The sequence below is a fragment of the Homo sapiens genome, chromosome 9, assembly GCF_000001405.40.
Source record: "Homo sapiens chromosome 9, GRCh38.p14 Primary Assembly".
Taxonomy (NCBI): Eukaryota; Metazoa; Chordata; class Mammalia; order Primates; family Hominidae; genus Homo; species Homo sapiens.
Window position 1 is genome coordinate 36,857,457 of NC_000009.12, and position 19,632 is coordinate 36,877,088.

A 19,632-nucleotide genomic window follows, 5' to 3' on the forward strand; every position below is an offset into this window, starting at 1 on the left:
GCCTGCATTAAAGGGGATTCTTAGACCCAAAACTAGACATTCGGGTGCCAGCAAAAGGCAAGATGGATTCAGAAGCAGAGTAGAAATGGAACTTCATACTAGCTAGGGTATCCAGGAAAGCTTCCTGTAAGAAGTGGCTGCAATGTGGGCTTGAGGACATTCAAATGTTGTCATTTAGTGGGTACCGAAATCTGTCCCATCACCTGCCAGCCCAGGCTGCATTGTTGAGTCAAAGTGTACTGCCTCTGTCCCCAGGGAAGGGAGTCCTCACTTTCTTTCAAGAAAGAGGCCAGTAAGCAGGACGCACACGGTGCTGACATGGAATGGGCCACAAAGACACGACTGTCCTTGCTTTCAACTCCCCAACAAGGCAGCTGAGAATGTAGGATACTGGCCGATAAACCCAAGGCTCCTGACAGCTCTGAACCACGTCATGGTTTTTGTAAATAATTGTAGAAAGGGGAGCGCTGATTTTCTGCACAGGCATTGAGGGCAGGAGTGGCTGCCACTCCATGTTGGTAACTGGGAGGTGGTGGAAAGCCCCTGGGTGTGCAGCCAGTCAGTCCTGGCCAAAGCCCAGCAGCCACTTAGCTGGGCAGCCTCGAAGAAGTCTCCTGAATCTCTGAGTCTGAGTTCCTAATTTGCAGTATGGTAATTACAACACTCAGAGGACTAAATATTGATGCATTTCAAAGTCCTTTGTGAATTGAAAAGTATTATACAAATGTGAGGAGCTATTTGATACTTAGCTCAATCCTTGGCACACAGCACATGCTTTGTGTGTCTATTGCAAAAACAGATACATTGGGACTTTTTTTTGAGCAAAATTATATTTCAGGATGTTTTTCTCATATTTCAACAAATGCCTAAAATTCTTGATTGTAAGGAAAGCCTCAAACTAGGAGTCCAAGTCCCTGATCTTCCGTCTCTACCCATCCCTTCCAGGTTCACTTAGCCTCAGTTTCCCCAAATGGACAATGGCAGGGTGGGAAACAGACAAGATTGGTTTCCAGTCTTTCTGCCACTAAGGAATAGTTTTCCTCCCCCCAGTTTCTGCCCAAATGACTCTTTGCTTGTTAAAATTATGAATCCAATCCCATACCTTTTAAAAATGTTCTATGAGGCTTTTTCTGTGTTTGGGCAAATAGATAATTTCCACAAGACTGACTGGAAAGCTAAAACCAGCCCCCAGCCTCTATTACTGGCTCCCAGCCTCCAAAAATGGCCCAGCCCCCTCCAGCTTGGAGACCCTCAAACCTCCTGGCACATTCCCAAGGCCTTCAGGAACTCCTTCGCTCAGCCCAAAGCTGACTTACTTTCCTGCGGCCCAGACCTTGGCCTGTCCCTCAGAGCAGCCAGGGGTCCTCCTTGGAAGAAATCACCTCCCCTGGCTCTGCTGGGCTCAGCGCTGAGGCCTGAATGTCCCGCCGCTGACTAATGAGACGGAGGGTGAAGGTGTCATACCTTGCTGGGAAGTCGCAGTGCTAGTCCCGACCTGCGCTGCCTGCCATCAAATTTTAATGCTTCTGCTGACATATTTATGGAATGCCTCACCAAGTGTCTGCGAGGAGACCAGACAAGATTTACCTCCACAATTACTACCAGGACGCTCGGGGTTCACTGTGTGCTGAGAACTCAGCAGCACAGAGGCCCCGATTTCCCCTGCACCCCGAGGAGCGCGCTCAATTCTGCACACCCTTCCTGCCCCCGGCAAGCCAGGCCTGGGGCTGGAAGAGGCGGAGATGAATCAGACACGGTCCCTGCCCACGGAGAGCCCACAGTCTGCGGGAGGGGCAGGCGCGCACATAAATTACTTGCAACCCTGGGAGGCTGGGGCCAGTGTGTTTGTACAGGTATGAAAGCCGGGCCGGGCTGAAGTAGGGAAGGGAGAGTTATTTCTCCTAACAGAGTCAGGGTCAAGGAAGAAGCCAAAGACCCAGGCTGGACCACCCAGCTGCTTCGGCTCTCCTGGTCACTCCTCTGGCTGAAAAAGCTCCCAGGGCCTCTCCCTCCCTCCCCCTGCCAGCCTCAGGGTCTCAGTGGCCCCTCTCCTTCAGCGTCTGCACCCGACATTCATTCCTTTGGGGTTCTCTCTCCCAAGGCTGACTGAGAGTGGGATGTGCCCCCTCCTCCCTCCCCGGCTCCTCACCCTTCCTCACTGTGTCCGCAAATTCCTGTAAGTTTTACTGCTCTCCTACAGCAAAGCTGCCCTGAGGGGAGGTGGAGGCGGGCAGGAATAATGCAGTGACCCAGGCCAGTGGCTGTCAAGCCTTGCTGCACATTAAGAATCATCTGGGGCTGGGTGTAGTGGTTCACACCTGTAATCCCAGCACTTTGGGAGGCCGAGGTAGGTGGATCACGAGGTCAGGAGATCGAGACCATCCTGGCTAACACGGTGAAACCCCACCTCTACTAAAAATACAAAAAAATTAGCCAGGCATGGTGGTGGGCACCTGTAGTCCCAGCTACTCAGGAGGCTGAGGCAGGAGAATGGTGTGAACCCGGGAGGTGGAGCTTGCAGTTAGCTGAGATCACGCCACTGCACTCAAGCCTGGGTGACAGAGTGAGGCTCTGTCTCAAAAAAAAAAAAATCATCTGGGGGCCGGGCATAGTGGCTCACACCTGTAATTCCAGCATTCTGGGAGGCTGAGGCGGGTAGATCACGAGGTCAGGAGTTCGAGACCAGCCTGACCAACATGGTGAAATCCTATCTCTACTAAAAATAGAAAAATTAGCCGGGCGTGGTGGCACATGCCTGTAATCCCAGCTACTCAGGAGGCTGAGGGAGGAGAATCACTTGAACCCAGGAGGCAGAAGTTGCAGTGAGCCAAGATTGCACCACTGCACTCCAGCCTGGGTGACAGAGCAAGACTGTCTCAAAAAAGAAAAAAAAATCATCTGGGAAGCTTTAAAAATCCAGATGACCAGGCCATATCTCATACTAGTTCACAGGGAGCTCGGAGTAAGCGGGGGGAGGCAGATGGTAATATTTGTCGAAACTTCCAAGGTGACGCCAATGTACAGCAAGTTTGAGAGACAGGGGGCAGGGACTCGGTACTCAGTGTGCAGCATGTTAGAGGACAAGCCTCCTGCACCCACCCTCAACTCTATGAAGCAGAATCTGCTCTCTGAGATGATCCCTGATGATTTGGGTGCAATAAAGCTTGAGAAGCACTGATCCTTGTTAAAGAGTTTCGCTAGCGTCCTCAGAGGCATGCTGGTGTCCAGTTCCCACGGCCTCTGAAATGGGGCCCCTAAGGAGACTGGCTTCTAAGCAGGCAGCCACCATAAGCTAACCACTGAGAAGGGCTGGCTTCTATGGGAGACTCCAGGCAGGCCACAAGGCAGCCGCCACCATGACTCAGTGAGCTTGACAGGGCCATTCCATGGAGGGAGCTGAATTAGGATGACCCTCACAGCTCCCAAGGCTGGACCAGAAGGCAGGAGCCCCATGCAGTCCTGTGCTGATGAAGACCCATTTTTTTCTAGGAGATTTACACTTTCATATGTATCCCCTGTGACCAGCCCACACACCTGGCTGAGAGATGGCTCTGCAGGGAGGGAGTCAGCAGGAGGGGAGGGGAGGGAAGAGGAGGGGAGGAAAGATATCTTGGGAGGCCAAGGAAAGATAAGTGAAGAAACCACCTAAGAGGGCAAATGCAGGGCTCAGTGGGAGGGGCCCAGAGATGTCCTGAGGAGCCCTGGTGGCATCTGCCTTGACACCAGGTCCACTGCAGACAGTCGCAATTTCATCCATCCATTCATCTATCAGATATTGAGTGAGGGCCTACTAGGTACCAGGCCCACTGCAGACAGTCGCAATTTCATCCATCCATTCATCTATCAGATACTGATTGAGGGCCTACTAGGTACCAGGTCCTGAGGATATAGCCCTGAACAAAGCAGATAACAGTCCCTGCCCTCATGGAGCTTATATTCCAGTGGTACAAACAAAACAGTAAACCAGACAAGTAAAAACAAAGCGTCCGGCATGCTAGATAATGATGGGTGCTAAAGAGAAAACATGAAGCAGGAGACAGAATAAGAAATATTGGGAGGAGGTGGAATTTTAGATGGAGTGACCGGGGATGACTCCACTGAAAAGGTGACTTTTGAAGAAAGAATGAAGGTAGCAAGAGTTTGCCATATGAATATCTGTGGGAAGGGCCCTCTAAGCAGAAGGAACAGCAAGTGCAAAGGCCCTGGGGCAGGAGTGTGGGAGGTGTGTGGCTAGGACAGCCAGGAGGCCTATGTGGCTGGAGAGAAGCCAGGGTGGGGAGAGGGGAGAGAAGGCCAGGGAGGGAAGTGGGGAGTGGGAGATAGGTCAGGACTTTGGCCTCTACTCTGAGTGTGCACAGGAGGGACGTGTCCTGACTCCAATTTTCACAGGCTCACTGCAGCCACGTTGTTGTGAATAGACTAAAGGGTCATGACTGGCAATGGGGAGACCAGGAAAGAGGCTGTTGCAAGGATTTACTGTAAGACTGACCTTCCCACTGAGTGGACACCTCTGGCCCTTTCTATCCTAATGCCACAAGACTGGGAAGGGCCAGGCCATGTGGCTATGCAAGCAGAGGGTCAGCTGGCCAAAGCCAAGGGCACTCACGGAGCGGGGCCAGGTGTGTGGAGGCAGCTGGTAGAGGGAAAGCATGCTGAATTCTAGTCCTGGCTCTGCATGATCTTGGGCCTCTCTACCTCTCGCTAAGCCTGTCACAAAAGCCATAAAAATGGGTCCCTACGGGGTTGTGGTGAGGATTCTAAGAGAAGATGGGTGTGGAAGCTCTGGGTAAACTGAGGAGGGGTGTGGGTGCGGAGTCCTGTCTGGCCACACACCAGGAATGCAGGAGGACGATGCATCCCGATTCTCCACAAGGGGGAGCCTGGTCAATTCTCCCGCCCGCAGCAATGAACTTCGCAGGCAGCAGTCCGGCCTTCCTATTTCAGAAGTCCCCAGCACCGCGTTCTGGGGTGGGAATAGATGCGCCCCTGAGAGGTCCTCATGCTGCTTCAGATCCTGTGGTTGGCAGATCATGTTCTCTCCAAAAGATGTTCCACACAGCCCAACAGCAGCGATTTGAGAGGCTGGCACGTGGATCCATCATGCTATGACCCCCAATAAACAAACCAAAAAGAAGATGGAAAGGAAAAGCAACATAGGAAAGAGAAGCCACCCCTGGCTGGGGGCGTTTGGTCTGAAGCAGGTAGGTGGGCGGCTTTGGGTTCAGCCCTGCCCAGGTTTGCGTGCCTGTTTCCCGTCTTGGCCCACAGGTTCTTTAAGGTGGCTCCTTACATGTTCACTGGGCATCTGCCCTGTGCCAGTCTGTATGCTGGGAGCAGGTGGTCCTCCAATGCGGCAGAAACTCAGGCTCATGAGCTCCCACCTACTCTCAGGGTCTCTTTCGCCTCTCCATTTATCTGAAGGTTAAAAAGGCCCAATAAGATGCCCTTAAAACAGACCAAGGGGGCAGGCAGGGCAGGCACGCAGGGAAGGGCAGGTTGTTCATTGCACCAGAGTCACCGGCTGACTGGACAAGTGGGGACTGAGGTCCAGCCTGCTCTACAGCCACCAAACCCTAAGTCCTGGCGTGGGGCTTCATCTGCTCAAGAGAAGGAAGGAACAAGGTGCTGAGAAACAGCCTGGGGACAGCCCAGGGGAAACTTTAAGACAAACCCTATTGCATGATCTCTCCCTCCTGCGGTAGCTGCTTCACACTGCTGTCACAGATCAGGAGAAAAACGTAAGGATAAGTCCAATGGATCTTCAAAGACAGACCCGCCTGGGTTCTTTTTTTCAATCTGTATTTATTTTATTCTTTTATTTTTTAGAAACAGGGTCTCACTCTGTCGCCCAGGCTGGAGTGCAGTGGCACCAGCATAGCTCACTGCAGCCTCAAACTCCTGGTCTCACACGAGCCTCCCGCCTCGGCCTCCCCGAGTGCTGGGATTACAGGTGTGAGCCACTGTGCCTGGCCTCAACTTACATTTATTTAGTGTCAGTGATGTGCCGGGTACTATGAGGGGCACAAATCATCTGTCAGGTGATGTCATCATGCCTTTCACCAATGCAGAAGCCGAGGCCCAGCACAGTTCAGGAACATGCTCTAGGGCACATTGCCAGGCAGAGGCAGGCTCCAGCTCTCAGGCCCCTGTGTTTTCTCTTGTTAAAAGGGCTCTAGAACCAGTGAGCCTACTAGGCTCTATCTTGGTACTATCACTTGGGCAAGTTACTCTGTGCAAGCCGATGCCTCCACTTCCTACTCTGTGAAATGGGATAACATCAACAGCAGCCTAATGGGAGCATTGCAAAAAACACGCAGGTCGGGGAATGAAAGGCAATTAGTGCAGGACTGGCATATAGAAGTGCACAGTAGGGGCCGGGCGCAGTGGCTCACGCCTCCAATCCCAGTACTTTGGGAGGCTAAGGTGGGCGGATCAGGAGGTCAGGAGCTCAAGACCAGCCTGGCCAACATGGTGAAACCCCGTCTCTACTAAAAATACAAAAATTAGCTGGGCATGGTGGCATGTGCCTGTAGTCCCAGCTACTCGGGAGGCTGAGGTAGAAGAATTGCTTGAACCCACGAGGCAGAGGTTGCAGTGAGCCGAGATTGCACCGCTACATTCCAGCCTGGGCATCAGAGCGAGACTCTGTCTCCCCCCGCCCCCCCAATAAAAGTGCTTAGTAGGTGTCAGCTACTGCTACAAAGCAAGCCCTTTTCCTCACAGGAGCCCTGGGAAAAAGACCATAAAAGTGCAGGCTGAGGTACAGAGACAGAAAGGTGACTTCCCTCTAAGGCTGGTAAACCTACAGGCAGGACTAAGGCCAAAGGTGCCAAGTCCTGGTCCATGCAGCTTCTCAGCCTCCCTAATTCTCCACTAGAGCCTGAGGAGTTCCAGGAGTGGACCTGGACAGAGACGGTCCAGGTATGGGGGAGGGCGAGGAGCAATGTGTTAAGTCAGGACTGGAAGACAACGAGTGGGGAGCAGGGCAGGACTTGAACTTGATCCTTGTGGATGTGCAGGTGGGAAAAGGTTGTCCAGAGTCCTCATGGGGCCACTGTCAGAACCCACCAGCTGTGAGGGTCCCCGTGCCCCAGCCGGACCCTGAGTCAGGGGACCCCAACTCCACCCTCACCTGCCCCCATCGGCCCAGGCCAGCTAAGGCTGGTGGGCCTGAGCGTGGGCCAGCCTCCCCCCTCAGCCCACCGGCCTGCCTGCCTCCTCCGGCCTGGCCAGCATGGTGGCAGGCCCTGCCTGCTCCCCTGGGAGCCTGCCGCCAGGGCTGATGGCGCTGACGGAGGGAGGGAGGCCGCCAAGCTGTCAGTCTAGAGGTGCCCCTCGGAGCCCCTCCTGGCTGGAGTGAGGAGGGTGGGCCGGCGCCGGAGCCGGGCTGTCAGGGCCTTCACAGAGACGAGGCCAGAGAGGCGCTGCCTGACAGCTCGCCCACCGAATTAGGACCATTTGCATGCTAATTTCCAGCACTCTAACGGGCTGGCAGGCGGGCTGGGGTGTGGAGAGTGTGCAGAGAGAGGCACCGCGGCCTTCCCGCCCGCGAAGGAACAATGCTTGACTGATCTAGCTGCGTTAACGAGCAAATTATGGTAATTTTGTTATTACAAATGCATAGAAATTTCCAAAGCAGGCAGCCATTCAGGGCAGCTCCCTGCTCCTCCCCACTCCTAAATACAGAGCCCCCTATTTGGAAACACAGGCCAGGCACCCACTTCAGAGACCAAGATTTCCAGGTGCTTCCCTCAGTTCTCCCAGGGAGGCCCAGGGTGAGCCCGGCCAGAGCATCCATCGAGTCAGCAACCCTCAGCTTCTGAGCTCCCCACACCTTGCCCTCTTGTCCCCCAGTAGTCTCTGCCTAGCCCCTGGGCCTAGCAATCCTGCAGAACCTCCACATGCAAGCTGGTTTCTTTCCATCTGAGCAGGTAGCATGGGCGATTCTCCTAGGTCTTGAGAAATTCATTCAGTCATTTCTGTGCCCATTCTTTGAACTAGGCCCAGCACCCAGGAGGGACTCAGGGATTGTCTGATGAATGAATAAGTGAGTCAAGGAAGAAGGGAGGAAGGGAAGAGAGGAGGGAAGGCAGCGGGAGAGGCTGGGGAGAGAGGGAGAGAAGGAAGAAATGGAGGAAGACCAGAACATATTCCGCAAATGAAGATAATCAGGAGACCCCACACGGCCAGCTCACTGGTGGTATAATTAATCCAAGACTTCACTAGCGGAGTTTATTTGCCAACTAGTAACCCCTCCCAGTATTTATAATTGTCCACTGTCAAAATCACAATTTGCCCCAGTTTTTCTGGTAGTCTTCTTTTGATTAAAAGTATGTTTTTGGAAGCCTGCTCTGGTATGCATCCAGACAGGAGCTGTTTCCAAAAAAGTGAGCTCCCACCTCCTAGCAGTGAAGCGTGGGTCGCTCCAGAGCAGGGCTGGGCACAAAGGACGGCTCAGTGGTGCCACGCTGTGAAAAGCAAGTCTGCCCATCCTCGGGCAGGTGGGGTGGATCTGCATCCACTCCTGCCCCACCGGGAACCACTGGCAGTCCTCCTGTTTTATGACAGGGATTTCAGGTTGGGGCTGATGTTATTGAAAGGTCAGGAAGGTGCCTCAAATCCATTTTGGAAGTCAGTGGGGAATAAATCATCAATTATGGAGGAAACCAGCGGCTAGGAAGGTCTGCTCCTGGTGGCTGAAGAAGCGCGGGCGGGCCGGGCCTCACCAGGGAGCGTTCGAGGCAGAGGCCTAAATAGAAGCCAAGACTTCAGAACCTCAGTTGGGGTCGTGGTCAGATTTTTCTATCTGTCTGACTTTCTAACTGGGTCACAGCTTCCAGAGGGAAACTGAACCCAGGAACAGAAAACAATCATTTCTTTGTGTCTGGCTACCTGACTCTGGGTAGGGGAGCTGTGCCCCGGCGTACCTGCAGGTCTCAGACCAACCTCGGCCAGACCTGGGGAGCCCACCGTTGCCTGGATCCACTGAGGCACAGAAGCCTGAGACTTAAGAGAAGATGTTTTTGTAGCTGGCCAGGTCCCAGGGCCTGGGAGAGGATCTGCATTCAGGAAGAGCACAACAAAAGTTGGGGTGAAGGTGGGGGTCTCGATTTGTGTTGCTGTAGAAGCCAGGGCATCCAGGAACCGTCCTTTTTATACCAGTTCTGCACAAGGACAGGAGACAAAATAGCTTCTTTTTTATTGCTTCGGTGAGGAACTGAGGGGGGTGGGGACAATAGGGCAGAAAGAGGGCCACCTGGCTCCCCCTCTGACTTGCCATATGACTTTGAACAAGTCCTTTCCTCATCCTCATCTGCACAGCCCTGGGTTGATTTCTAAGGTTGAGTCCAGCCCTGTCCATCAGTGATGGACGGAAAAGCAGCTACAGAACACACAACGGCCTCTCCGTTGAACACACAACACGCTCCACACAGGCACAGCCCAATCTACACAGGGCTAACAGCCTTCAAAGCTTCTCCTGCAGAGCAGATTTCTCCAAAGCCAAAGGCAAGGCCCTCGGCTAGGGCCTCTGTTGAATCAATGTCTTTGCCGCTGCCCCCAGTGGCCAGCTCTACAGCCTACAAAATGTCCTGGATGGGGTGGTGGGGGGGGGGCCTTGGTTGGTCTCCTGCTTCCCAAGGCTAGATTCCAATTTCTTTGCATTTGTTTTTCCAAATGTGTCTGGCTCGTTCCTGGGGAGTTCTTCTCTACCCAGGAACCCCACACCCGCAGTGCCCATGGAAAAGCTATTCATTCACAAAGGTCCAGTGCAAAGTTGTAGGGGCTATGGGAAACTGCTTCAACCCAAGACTCTTCGGTATACACCTGGTGTCCCCGCTTAGACCTGCTCGTGCCACACCCTTCTTTTGCATCACACAATGAAAGCAATTTCTGGGCTGTAACACAGTGTTTCTAAGAGTCACACTCCAAATTGGCAAAATCCTTCCCTTGTCATCTAGACTGAACCACTTGCTAGCAAACCATTTAAGCCTCAGTTTTCACCTCTGTAAAAGGGGCTACCGTGAGGCTCCACTGCAATTATACATGAAAGGGGCACATGAATAGCAAAGCTCCGTCCAGGTGGGGGTTCGTCTTCTTAGCAGCATTGTGAACAAGACCCCACGATGGCCACAGCGGTCAGAAACCCTGCCCTGGCAGGACAATGCCCAAGGCATTTTTGGCCTGGGATTGCTCTTCAGGCGAAGGGTATGGTAACACAGTTGTCATTTCACATTTTTCCTTCCTCCCTCTTTTATCTCTCTTTCTCTTTTCCACTCCTTCTCTCTTCCTTTCTTTCTTTCTTTCAGCCCTGGATTTAAGTCTCCCTGTTTCGGGCCCTTTATTTGTGCCCGTTGCACATAGACTCCTTATAAAGAAAATTCATTTGTTCAGGGTCACCGCATGGTTTTTCATTAAAAACAAATTACCCGCATTCAGGGAGGACATCTGGGCTTCGCGGGTCCCATTAATGACTATATTTCCAGCCTCCCAGCCTGGTTGGGCTCCCCTTGCCTGTCACCCCGCGTTCCCGGCCCCGGGAGGACAATGAGAGTGACAGTCAAGTGAAAGGGAAAACATGAGGGATGAGGGCGAGAGGCAAGTCCCCCGAGAGGGGAAGGAGGGAAAAGTGAAAAAAATAAATAACTCAAACAGAGGGTAACAAGGGCCATTGTCTCAGCGTCTTCCTGCTAGAAGCCAGAGCAAATATTGGAAGAAGGACTGGGGGCGTGCCAGTAGCACTCAAGCCCTGTTTAATTACACAGTCCGACCCTAACTTGCCCTGGACTCTGGACCGGGCAAGATGGGGAGGGGCATGTGCTGTATTCAGATAAATCCCACCCACAGCTACTGAGCACCTACTGCAGGCAGCACCTACTGCAGGCAGGGCCAGGATCTGAGAGGAATTCCGGGCAGCCCTGACCTCAGACGCAGCCAGGAGACGGGCGCACGGGGTCTCTATGGCAGACCATGGGCAGTGCCCGGGGGGTGCACACAGTGGGGAGATGAGGGACTGCGGTGGGGGGCTTCCTGTAAGAGAGAGCCTTAAATTTGGGTCTAGGAACATGTGTCAAACACAGACAGGTGAGGATGGGGAGGGAGAAAGGAATATACCAGAATTCCAAGTGTGAGCTCCGTAGCATCCCAGCAGGAAGAGCTCTTCCTGGGCCATAAAAGAACTCGAGTTAGGAAGGCCACCTATGTCCCTGAGGGAGCACCTTCCCTGGCCCCAGAGCCCATAGATAGTCTCAATTTCCTCTCAGTCTCCATGGACACCGGAGGCTCAGAGACCCTAAGTTCCAGGCGCCAAGCCCAGCTGCTCCCTGACTGGCTATCCCCCTGGCAATGCAACACCACCTCCCGAACCCAGTCAGCCTGCCTCCGAGATGGATATGCTCACTCCAACCTCACAACATGCTTTCAAATGGCAACTGGGGCTAACAGCTGTGTGTCCCTTGATAACTCTAAAGCACCATGCAGGTTGGGGGTGGGGAAGCATGGGGCTTGTTGGTAGAATGAGCTTACGGGCATGGGTGGTTTGGCCCCATTTGAGAACACTCTCCTTTTGGAAGGCAGAAGCCAAGCTCCACTGGCTCTCACTGCCCTGAGGGCTTCGGACACTGCCAGAAGTTCTCTGGATAGCAGTATCCCAGGTGGAGTGACCCTCAGGGTTGGAGGCAGCGGTTGGTCCAGATGAAGACTGACAGCTGTCAGGGTCTTGGAGACAGGGGCTGCAGATCCCAGCAAGCCGAAGGGAGTCAAACTCTGACAGCCCCAGTAGATTAAAGCTGGGTTTCGGAAAGACTGCAGTAAGTACAGGAGCAAAGCACATCTCAGAACCTTTGTCTTCATTGTTCCTGCTCTGCCTGAAACACTCATCTTCTCCCTCCTCACTCCACCTCCCACTGGCTAACATATGTTTCTCTCTCAACAATAAACCTGAAAATTGTCTCTTCCTAGATTCCTCCCCTGCCCTAAGGGCAGCACCAGGGATGTCTTGGAAAGCTTTAGCTGTGCCCCTATTCTTTGATGTGTTTTCTCAATCTTAGCAAAACTCTCTGCAAAAGCACCCTCAGACATGCCTCCCACCCAGCCCTACTGTACAGAGATTCCAAGCCCCTCTGTGTCTGACATCCCCAGTCTAGGCTCCATCCCCCTTCTCTGTGTTCCCAGAGTCCCTGGGCTTGCCTGTTACCACAACTGGCCCCCATAGCCCCTCACAGATTTGCCTGACAAGGGTCATGAGTTTTGATCTTGTATCCTTAGGCTACTACCTGGCACATGTAGATGCTCAATAAATGTTGGAAGGGAGAAGGAAAGGAAGGAAGCGATAGTGGATGGATGGGTGGATAAATAGATGGATGGATGGATGAATAGATGGATGGATGGATAAATGGATGGATGGATGGATGGATGGATAAATGGATGGATGGATGGATAAATGGATGGATGGATGGATGGATGGATGGATGGATGGATGGATAAATGGATGGATGGATGGATGGATAAATGGATGGATGGATGGATAAATGGATGGATGGATGGATGGATAAATGGATGGATGGATGGATGGATGGATAAATGGATGGATGGATGGATGGATAAATGGATGGATGGATGGATGGATGGATAAATGGATGGATGGATGGATGGATGGATAAATGGATGGATGGATGGATGGATGGATGGATGGATGGATGGATAAATGGATGGATGGATGGATGGCCACTGCAACCTGATCAGCTCAAGGCCCCACAATTATTTATTATGTTCAATACATTTCAACAGGCTCTCTCCCAAGCCCCTTCTTCTAGGACACGGAGGCCCCTTTCCATTCTACCCCACAGCACATCATGCATTAAATGCCCTATAATAATGATACTTTTCACTCTAAAAACACAAAAAGCTTATTTTTATAATTTTACTTTTGAAATTATTTGGCCACAAGTAATCTAATTGATGATTAGCTATGAATACTCTGCAACTGAGGCACAAACTTAGAAATTCTTTTAAAGGAACAAAATCTAATCTAAAAATGGTTTTTAAATGTAATGAAATTTTTGTAAGCCCTAAATTTAATAGTTAATGAAGTTAACAACAATGTTACAATTTGTAAACATTTACTATGACATTTATTAATGTCAGTTTTCTAGTTTCCTATTTTAATTTTAGAGGTAAAAGGAGCTTTGTTTGGGCCTCAGATTGTTGTAGATTCCTAAAAAGCTCCTGGGACTTTAGCCCAGGGCCTCTCCAGGGCCCTGCACTTTCATTTAGGATCCTGTGGGAAGTCTTGGCTGGGACACCAACCTCATCTTCCAGGAGCTCAAGTCTGGTGGAGGTAGAGACGCACTCGTAAATAATGTGATAAAAAGTAAAAGAAAAGGGAAGGAGTGCATTGGGCCCCAAGCCCCTCAGATTGCTGCTGCCCAGTAGAAGAAGGGGCTGGTCTGAGCCCTGGACACTCCTGCATAGGGTGCCCTCAGGGCAGGGGCTGCCTGGCCCAGGCTCCTCCTAGGACTTCAGCCTCTCCTTCCCATCCTACCTCCAGGTAAGCCAGGCCCAGAGTACTTTCTCCCTGTTTGCCCCCAACCAAGACTCAACCACAAAACAGAGGGAATTGCCACCTGCCCTCTTGACAGGCCTTTTGGCAAGCAGTGCTACTGGGAGGTGCCTGTAGCAGCGTGGCTTAAACCCCAGGCCTGGCGTCAGGCTGCTCTGCCACCTGCTGTGTGGCAGGGGCTGAGGATGGCTTCTGCTGCCACTCCGTGGGCCCTGTGCATACCCGGGCTGCAGTCCTCGTCCAGTCCTCGGCGTTTATCTCCTGGATTCATGCCCACTCTGTCTCTGGTCAGAATCTGACTTGGTCATCAGGAATTAGGATAAGAAGGCCTAAGGTTCAGCAAGGCCACTGTCCTCAGGACACCCTCACTTTGGGCTGTGTACGTCCAGGCTCCTCTCTGCACTAATGGGGGACCCCTAACCTCTCAGGGCTGGGAGAACCTTTAAGCCCTCCAGGCCCACCTTGACCCTGCATCAGCCACCCAACGCTTAGCCCTTCCGCAAATGCTTCAGTTTCTTCTAAAGCAAATTCTGATAGCATTCCCCTTCATCTCCTAAAAAGCCATCACAGCCCAGTCGTTTTGTTTGTTGTTTGTTTTTAAGAAACACCATTAGTAGAAGGACATCAGGAAGAAATTGTAAGTCAGGATCCCAAACACATGTTCTCACATACTCATGACCAGGTTGGTGCAGTTGGATCTGGGGCCTGCCAACCACCATCAGAAGGAGCTGGAAACTGGGGAAATCTAACAAGTAGATTCAGCCCAGAGCAGCACCAAAGCTGTCCTCAGCCCCTGGCTCTGAGCTCCCCCAGCACTGCACACTTCCCAGGCGGGCCAGTGAGCACCGGCTTTGGACAGGGCACTCTCCCAGCTGAGACTCTGCTTCTCAGCTGTCCTTGCAATGGGGTTGTGAGAAATAAGAATGTTTCCCAGCACCTGTGAGCCTAGGATATTCTCTCTCCCCATCTCCATGCTCCCAAAAGGGACACTTTGCTTTCAAAGATGGAACAAATGATGGTGATCTTTACTACCTCTCTCTCACCCTAAGATTGCAGATTCCAGTCTGGGAGCCCTCCTCCCAGGTGCACAAGCCCCAAAAGCCAGCCCTGGCCTGCCCCAGCAGTTTCTGGGCCTTCCCGATCGAGACATGGGAGCAGTGTGTAAGGTTAACAAGTCCTCAGGCTCTTCTCCTTCAGTCCAGCCCTTGGAAGTGATTACCAGATTATACATGACAGCCCAGGGCCACTGTCTTATTATTCACAGCCCCAGATCTGAAGGGAACTTGGAAGCACTTTCTGCTTGCTTAGAACAGAGGTGGCAGGGCTTAGGGAGCCCTCCAGTTCGGTCAGGAGCTGTTATGAGCAGGGATAAACATCACTGACTTAGAAACCTTGAATGGCAGGAGCAGAAAACCCCCTGGGGTGCATTCAGCCCAGCCTCCCCAGGCCCTGCCTCCTGCTTTAAGAGAGAGCAGGGAGTCCCAAGGTCATGTCTCAAGGTCATGCTGTGAGTATCTGGCAGCTAGAATCAGAACCTAGGTCTCCTAAATTCAAGTAGGACCTTCATGTCCCCAGAGTCCTTTCCATCTCTGAGGCTTTTGTAATTCTTTTCTTCCCAAATGCAGGCAAGAGCTGAGAAAGCCTACATGTGTGTATCAGTTTCTCCTCACTCCCAGCATCACTTCCGTGCAGGGTTCCTGGAGCTTTAGTCACATAGACTGTCCAGACCACCTCATTCTAGACCCCTCGTCCCCCCACCCTATGAGGGCACAGGCAACAGGCAACCCTGGCTCTCCACATCTGCCTGGGCAGAGCCTGCCCTCTGCAAGGCTATTGGATGCTCAGCCTCATGCCCAGAGGTTTCCAGGGCTGAGGTGTGGGTGTGACTGGGACCCTTCTTCCCTAGATCCAGCCTTCCCTTCCAGCTCATCTCCCACCAGCCCCACAAGGCTTTGGTCACTCCCAGCTCCCTCCCTGATGCCCATGTTCTCTGGTTCCCCTGGGGCTTCTCACGCACTGGTCCCTTACCCAACAATATCCCTCCAGCTTCACAGACTGGCAAACTCACTCTTCAAGGTCCAGCTCAAATGACCTCCTTTGAGAAGTCTTCCCTGATTTCTCCCACTCCACCCCATTGCCTCAGCAGACTCAGTGGTCCCCCTCACCTGCATTTCCCCACACTTTATAGATTCCTAGGTCTTAGCTCTTAACATTAGCACATCAGGATTTTTTTATATCCATCTCTCCAACTAGACTGTGAGCTCCCTGAGGGCAGGGGCTGTGTCGGCAGCTCCACCCCTAGCCCACAATTGGCACCAAGGGTCTCTTAGGAAATGTATGGAGAATGAATGAATGAACAAGTGAATGGCCACCTGCATTTCATCGTAGCTGTGTCTAGGATTCCCCAGGGTCAAGTCTGTGTTCCTGCTGTGGCAGAGTGACTGGAGGCCACCAGAGGGCAGCAAAGAGTCAGGAACGAGCAACAGGTGTGCACCCCAGAGGCCAGGGCCAGGTTGGCAAAGGGGTGGCGTGCCCAGGCCAGAGAGCTACCAGGAGCCCCAGCAAGGAGCTTAGAAAGAAAGTCAGGGGTCAAGGGAAGTTAGTGTTAAGAACAAAGGCTGTTCTTTCCCTGAGCAAACGCTCCCTGAGCCTGATGCTTAGGTCACGGAGGTGCCTGGAGAGCACTGGTCCTCTCTCCATCTGATGCTCAAATCCCCACCACCAAGTTCTCACCAGTGTCCGCTGGACCCTCCCAAGTCTGCCCATTCCAATGTCTTCAGTACTAATCATAGGAAAGGTTCTTGATACAAGGCTGGAAAAGGTGGCCCTCTGAATCCTGTTCACTACTCCCGGCCATGCCTATGGAACTGGGCAGTATATATTTTCTCCCTGTTTCACATGCTTAACCAGACCCAGAGAGTGGAAATGACATGTCAGATGGCACAGAGGTCCTGGCTGAGCTGGGCCAGGATGCTGCCTGGTACTGCGGCCCCCACCCCTAAGCCTGCATGCTTTGCACAGAGCAGGCCTGTAGGGCAGGCAAGACGCAGAATCAGGGGTGGGCTTGCCAGACCACAAAAGAAACCTTCTCCTCCCCGCTCCAGAACCTCAATACCCTTCCTATCTCACACAGGCGGTGTCTCCGTAACTACACAACCATCGTTTCAAACAGTAGCAAGGCAGGCTCCGAGAAGTCACAGAGCTCCTCTGTGGTCACACTGCTAATAATGGTGAAGCCACATTCTTGCCAAAGCACCCTTCGCTTCTCTTGGGGCATCTGCATATTTCTGTCTGGACTGGCCCTCGCCCCATGCTCCTGGGGTTCATGCACCTGTCTGCAGAAGGCCTCATCTGCATGTCTGCTTGGCCTCCAAAAGTTGCCAAGCTCAGATCCTAACCTTGCTGGCCATCAGCCTCCACTCAACAGGCTCCCCTCCCTGCCAATCCTACTTGCCTGGCCTGGGCTGGACTCCCACCCCTGGGAACCCACACCAGCCACTAGGCTTAGCCTTCTGCCCTACCGCAAAGCCCCCATCCTCCTCTCCAGATAGCCAAGCACACATGGTTCCCAGCCCAGCTCCAGGGCCACCTTTGCCAGAATGCCTTTCTCAGTTGCACCAACCACAGCTGCCTCTCTGTTTTCTGCAGACCCACTGTATTCGGAGACTGCCTGACTCCTACTTGGCAGTGCTCTCATTTCTGACTGGATTCTTCTCTAGTTGGCTTTCCCATTGATCCACAGGCTCCAGGAGGTATGAGCTCTGCTGGAGAGCTCTTGATTTGAGCGTTAGCATGCCTGCTAGGCTTCTCTGTTCACCGCCCTATCCAGCCCAGGCCCCTGTGTAAATAATAATAGCAATAATAATGAACACTTATGTGCCACTCCATATGTGCCAGTCAGAATTCTAAGAGCTTTTATGTATATTACATCACTTAATGCTCACATTTATTATCAGTATCCCCATTTTATACACGAGGAGGAAACCAGGGCCCTGAGGAGTTATGTAACTTGCCCCAAGTCACACAGCTAGTGAGAAGCAGGACTGTGACTCAGAACCAGGGAGTCTGGCTCAGGTCCATGCTCTTAACCACCCAGCCTCCCACTGCTTCCCCATGTGGCGGCCACTCTAACAGCGCTACCACTCCCAGCCCTGGGTCAGCCCCAGCCTCCTTGGTTGCATCACCCCAGCCCCCAGACTCAGGGCCACAGCAAACCTAGCGAAGCTCTCCTTGGCAGCTCGGCCTAAAGTTCTCCATTTTAATTTCAGCTACTGTGTCCTGAGTGCGACTAGGTGCTAGGCACTGTGCCGGGAACTAAGGACACAACTGTGAACAAAACAGACATAGCCTTGATTATTGTACAGCTCTTACATACCATACAGACCTGAAGAGAAGCCGGAGGGGAACGAGTAAACCACACACTAAATGACTTCAGCTGGGCTTAGTGCTGCACATGAAAAGAGCAGGAAGCTCTGGGAGAGGAATGATAGGGGGTCCTGGTTCGGAGGGTATGTGGCAGGCAGAATTGTGGCCCCCCCCAAAAATGTCCATATCATAAGCCCTAGAACCCATGATTATGTCGGATTACATGGCAGAGGGGAATTAGGTTGCAGATAAAATGAAATTAGCTGTCCTGAACATGGGCAGATTATCCTAGATATCCAGGTGGGTCCAAGGGAAACACAGAGCTCTCTAAGTGAATGGGGGAGGAAGGAGGGGCAGCCGGATAAAGACTCAGCCCAACATCGCCAGTTTCGACAAGGAAGGAAGGGGCCAAAAGCCAAGGAATGCCGGCAGCAGCAACAAGCTAGGACAAGAAAGCAAATCATTCCCTCCTAGCACCTCCAGAAGAAACAAGCCCTGCAGACACCTTGACTTCAGCCCAGTGAGACCTACTTCCAGAATCAGAGGGAGAAAAGTGTCTGTTGTTTTAAGTCACTCATTTGTGGTAATTTGTCACAGCAGCAACAGGAAACTCAAATATATTTGGTCACTGGGGAAGGCCTCTCTATGGAAGGGAAACCCAGATAGGTGAGAGGGGACCAGGCAAGCTGGGCAACGAGCAGAGAGGGGCTGAGCCCTTTAAGCAGAGGAAGTTGCAGGTGCTGAGGTGGGAAGGAGCAGGCCCCTCTCACTCCCCCTGTGGTGTTCAGTGGACCCTGTGCCTTCCCGGCCCACAAGGCTGCGCCCACCTCTCCTCTGGCCTCAGGCCCCCACTCCACACTGCACCCTCACCTCCTACTTCTTTAAGAAAATAAAAGCCATCAGTTTAGTGAGTGCCTCAATTGAAAGGCATCTAGAAATGATGTCCATCAATCCATGGCAAGTACAGTGCCCAGGCCCACAGGGACCCCACCTAGTGCCTTTGTGCACATTGTTCTGGTGGGCCATGAGGGATGGGGCACCCACCGGTTCCTCAAAGATAGCAACCTTTTTTTCTCAGACTTACTAAAGCCAAAGGGCAATGAACTCCCCTTCCTTTTTCCTCTAGCCCAGAATTTGTCAGAATTTCAAATGCCATGTCGATATCTGCAACCATGTTAAGATATTTGCAACCATGTTAGGTTGCAAAATATCTTCAGGCAGGAATCAACTGGTTACACCAATCAAGACACTATGAAATCTTTGGTGCAAAATTTTCGGCATTTTCTGGGACTTGATGGAAATAAAATTTGAAAACTGTTTCCTTTCTAAGCTGATATAAGATGCTATATTCGCTTTCTTCAACATAACTGCTCTGCAAATGGTGATGCAGAGTTTACTGAATCTGCAAACCCTAGAGAAGACCAGAAGCTATGTTTTGCAGACATGGGGATGCCCTGGAGCCGGAAGGAGCAGACAACTCTGATGATGGAATCAGAAATCAAGCTGAACATGAGTCCAAGCTAACAAGCAGACATTTAGTAAGGAAAAACATGACATCCACTTTTTCAGGCTCTGCAGTGTGGCTGTGGAAGCATAGCCCAAGGCAAGCGTGCCTTCCTCTGTGTGTCCTCCAAGCACATTTACAATAAAAGCCTTCACTTGGAAATGAAGTGGTGGCCGGGCACAGTGGCTCATGCCTGTAATCCCAA

General features: G+C 52.2%; 1 protein-coding gene and 1 non-coding gene across 14 annotated transcripts in view, besides 2 other annotated features; both read right to left on the minus strand.

Moving 5' to 3' along the window:
• The window catches only part of PAX5 (paired box 5), a 201,000-nt gene that overhangs the window by 24,188 nt on the left and 157,180 nt on the right, over window positions 1-19,632 (minus strand). The gene's annotated exons all lie outside the window — the stretch shown is intronic.
• Window positions 6,798-6,852, minus strand: MIR4540 (microRNA 4540). The gene has a single exon (NR_039766.1). It is a non-coding gene; the product is annotated as a microRNA 4540 (primary transcript).
• Window positions 7,331-7,440: an enhancer, noted in NCBI's record as "active region_28357". NCBI's record gives its function as "activates an Ori minimal core promoter by ATAC-STARR-seq in GM12878 lymphoblastoid cells {active_cell/tissue: GM12878}" and the evidence as "EXISTENCE:reporter gene assay evidence [ECO:0000049][PMID:35858748]".
• Window positions 10,484-11,175: an enhancer, noted in NCBI's record as "H3K4me1 hESC enhancer chr9:36867937-36868628 (GRCh37/hg19 assembly coordinates)". NCBI's record gives its function as "activates a minimal SCP1, AML or CMV promoter by ChIP-STARR-seq in primed H9 embryonic stem cells {active_cell/tissue: H9 hESC(primed)}" and the evidence as "EXISTENCE:reporter gene assay evidence [ECO:0000049][PMID:30033119]".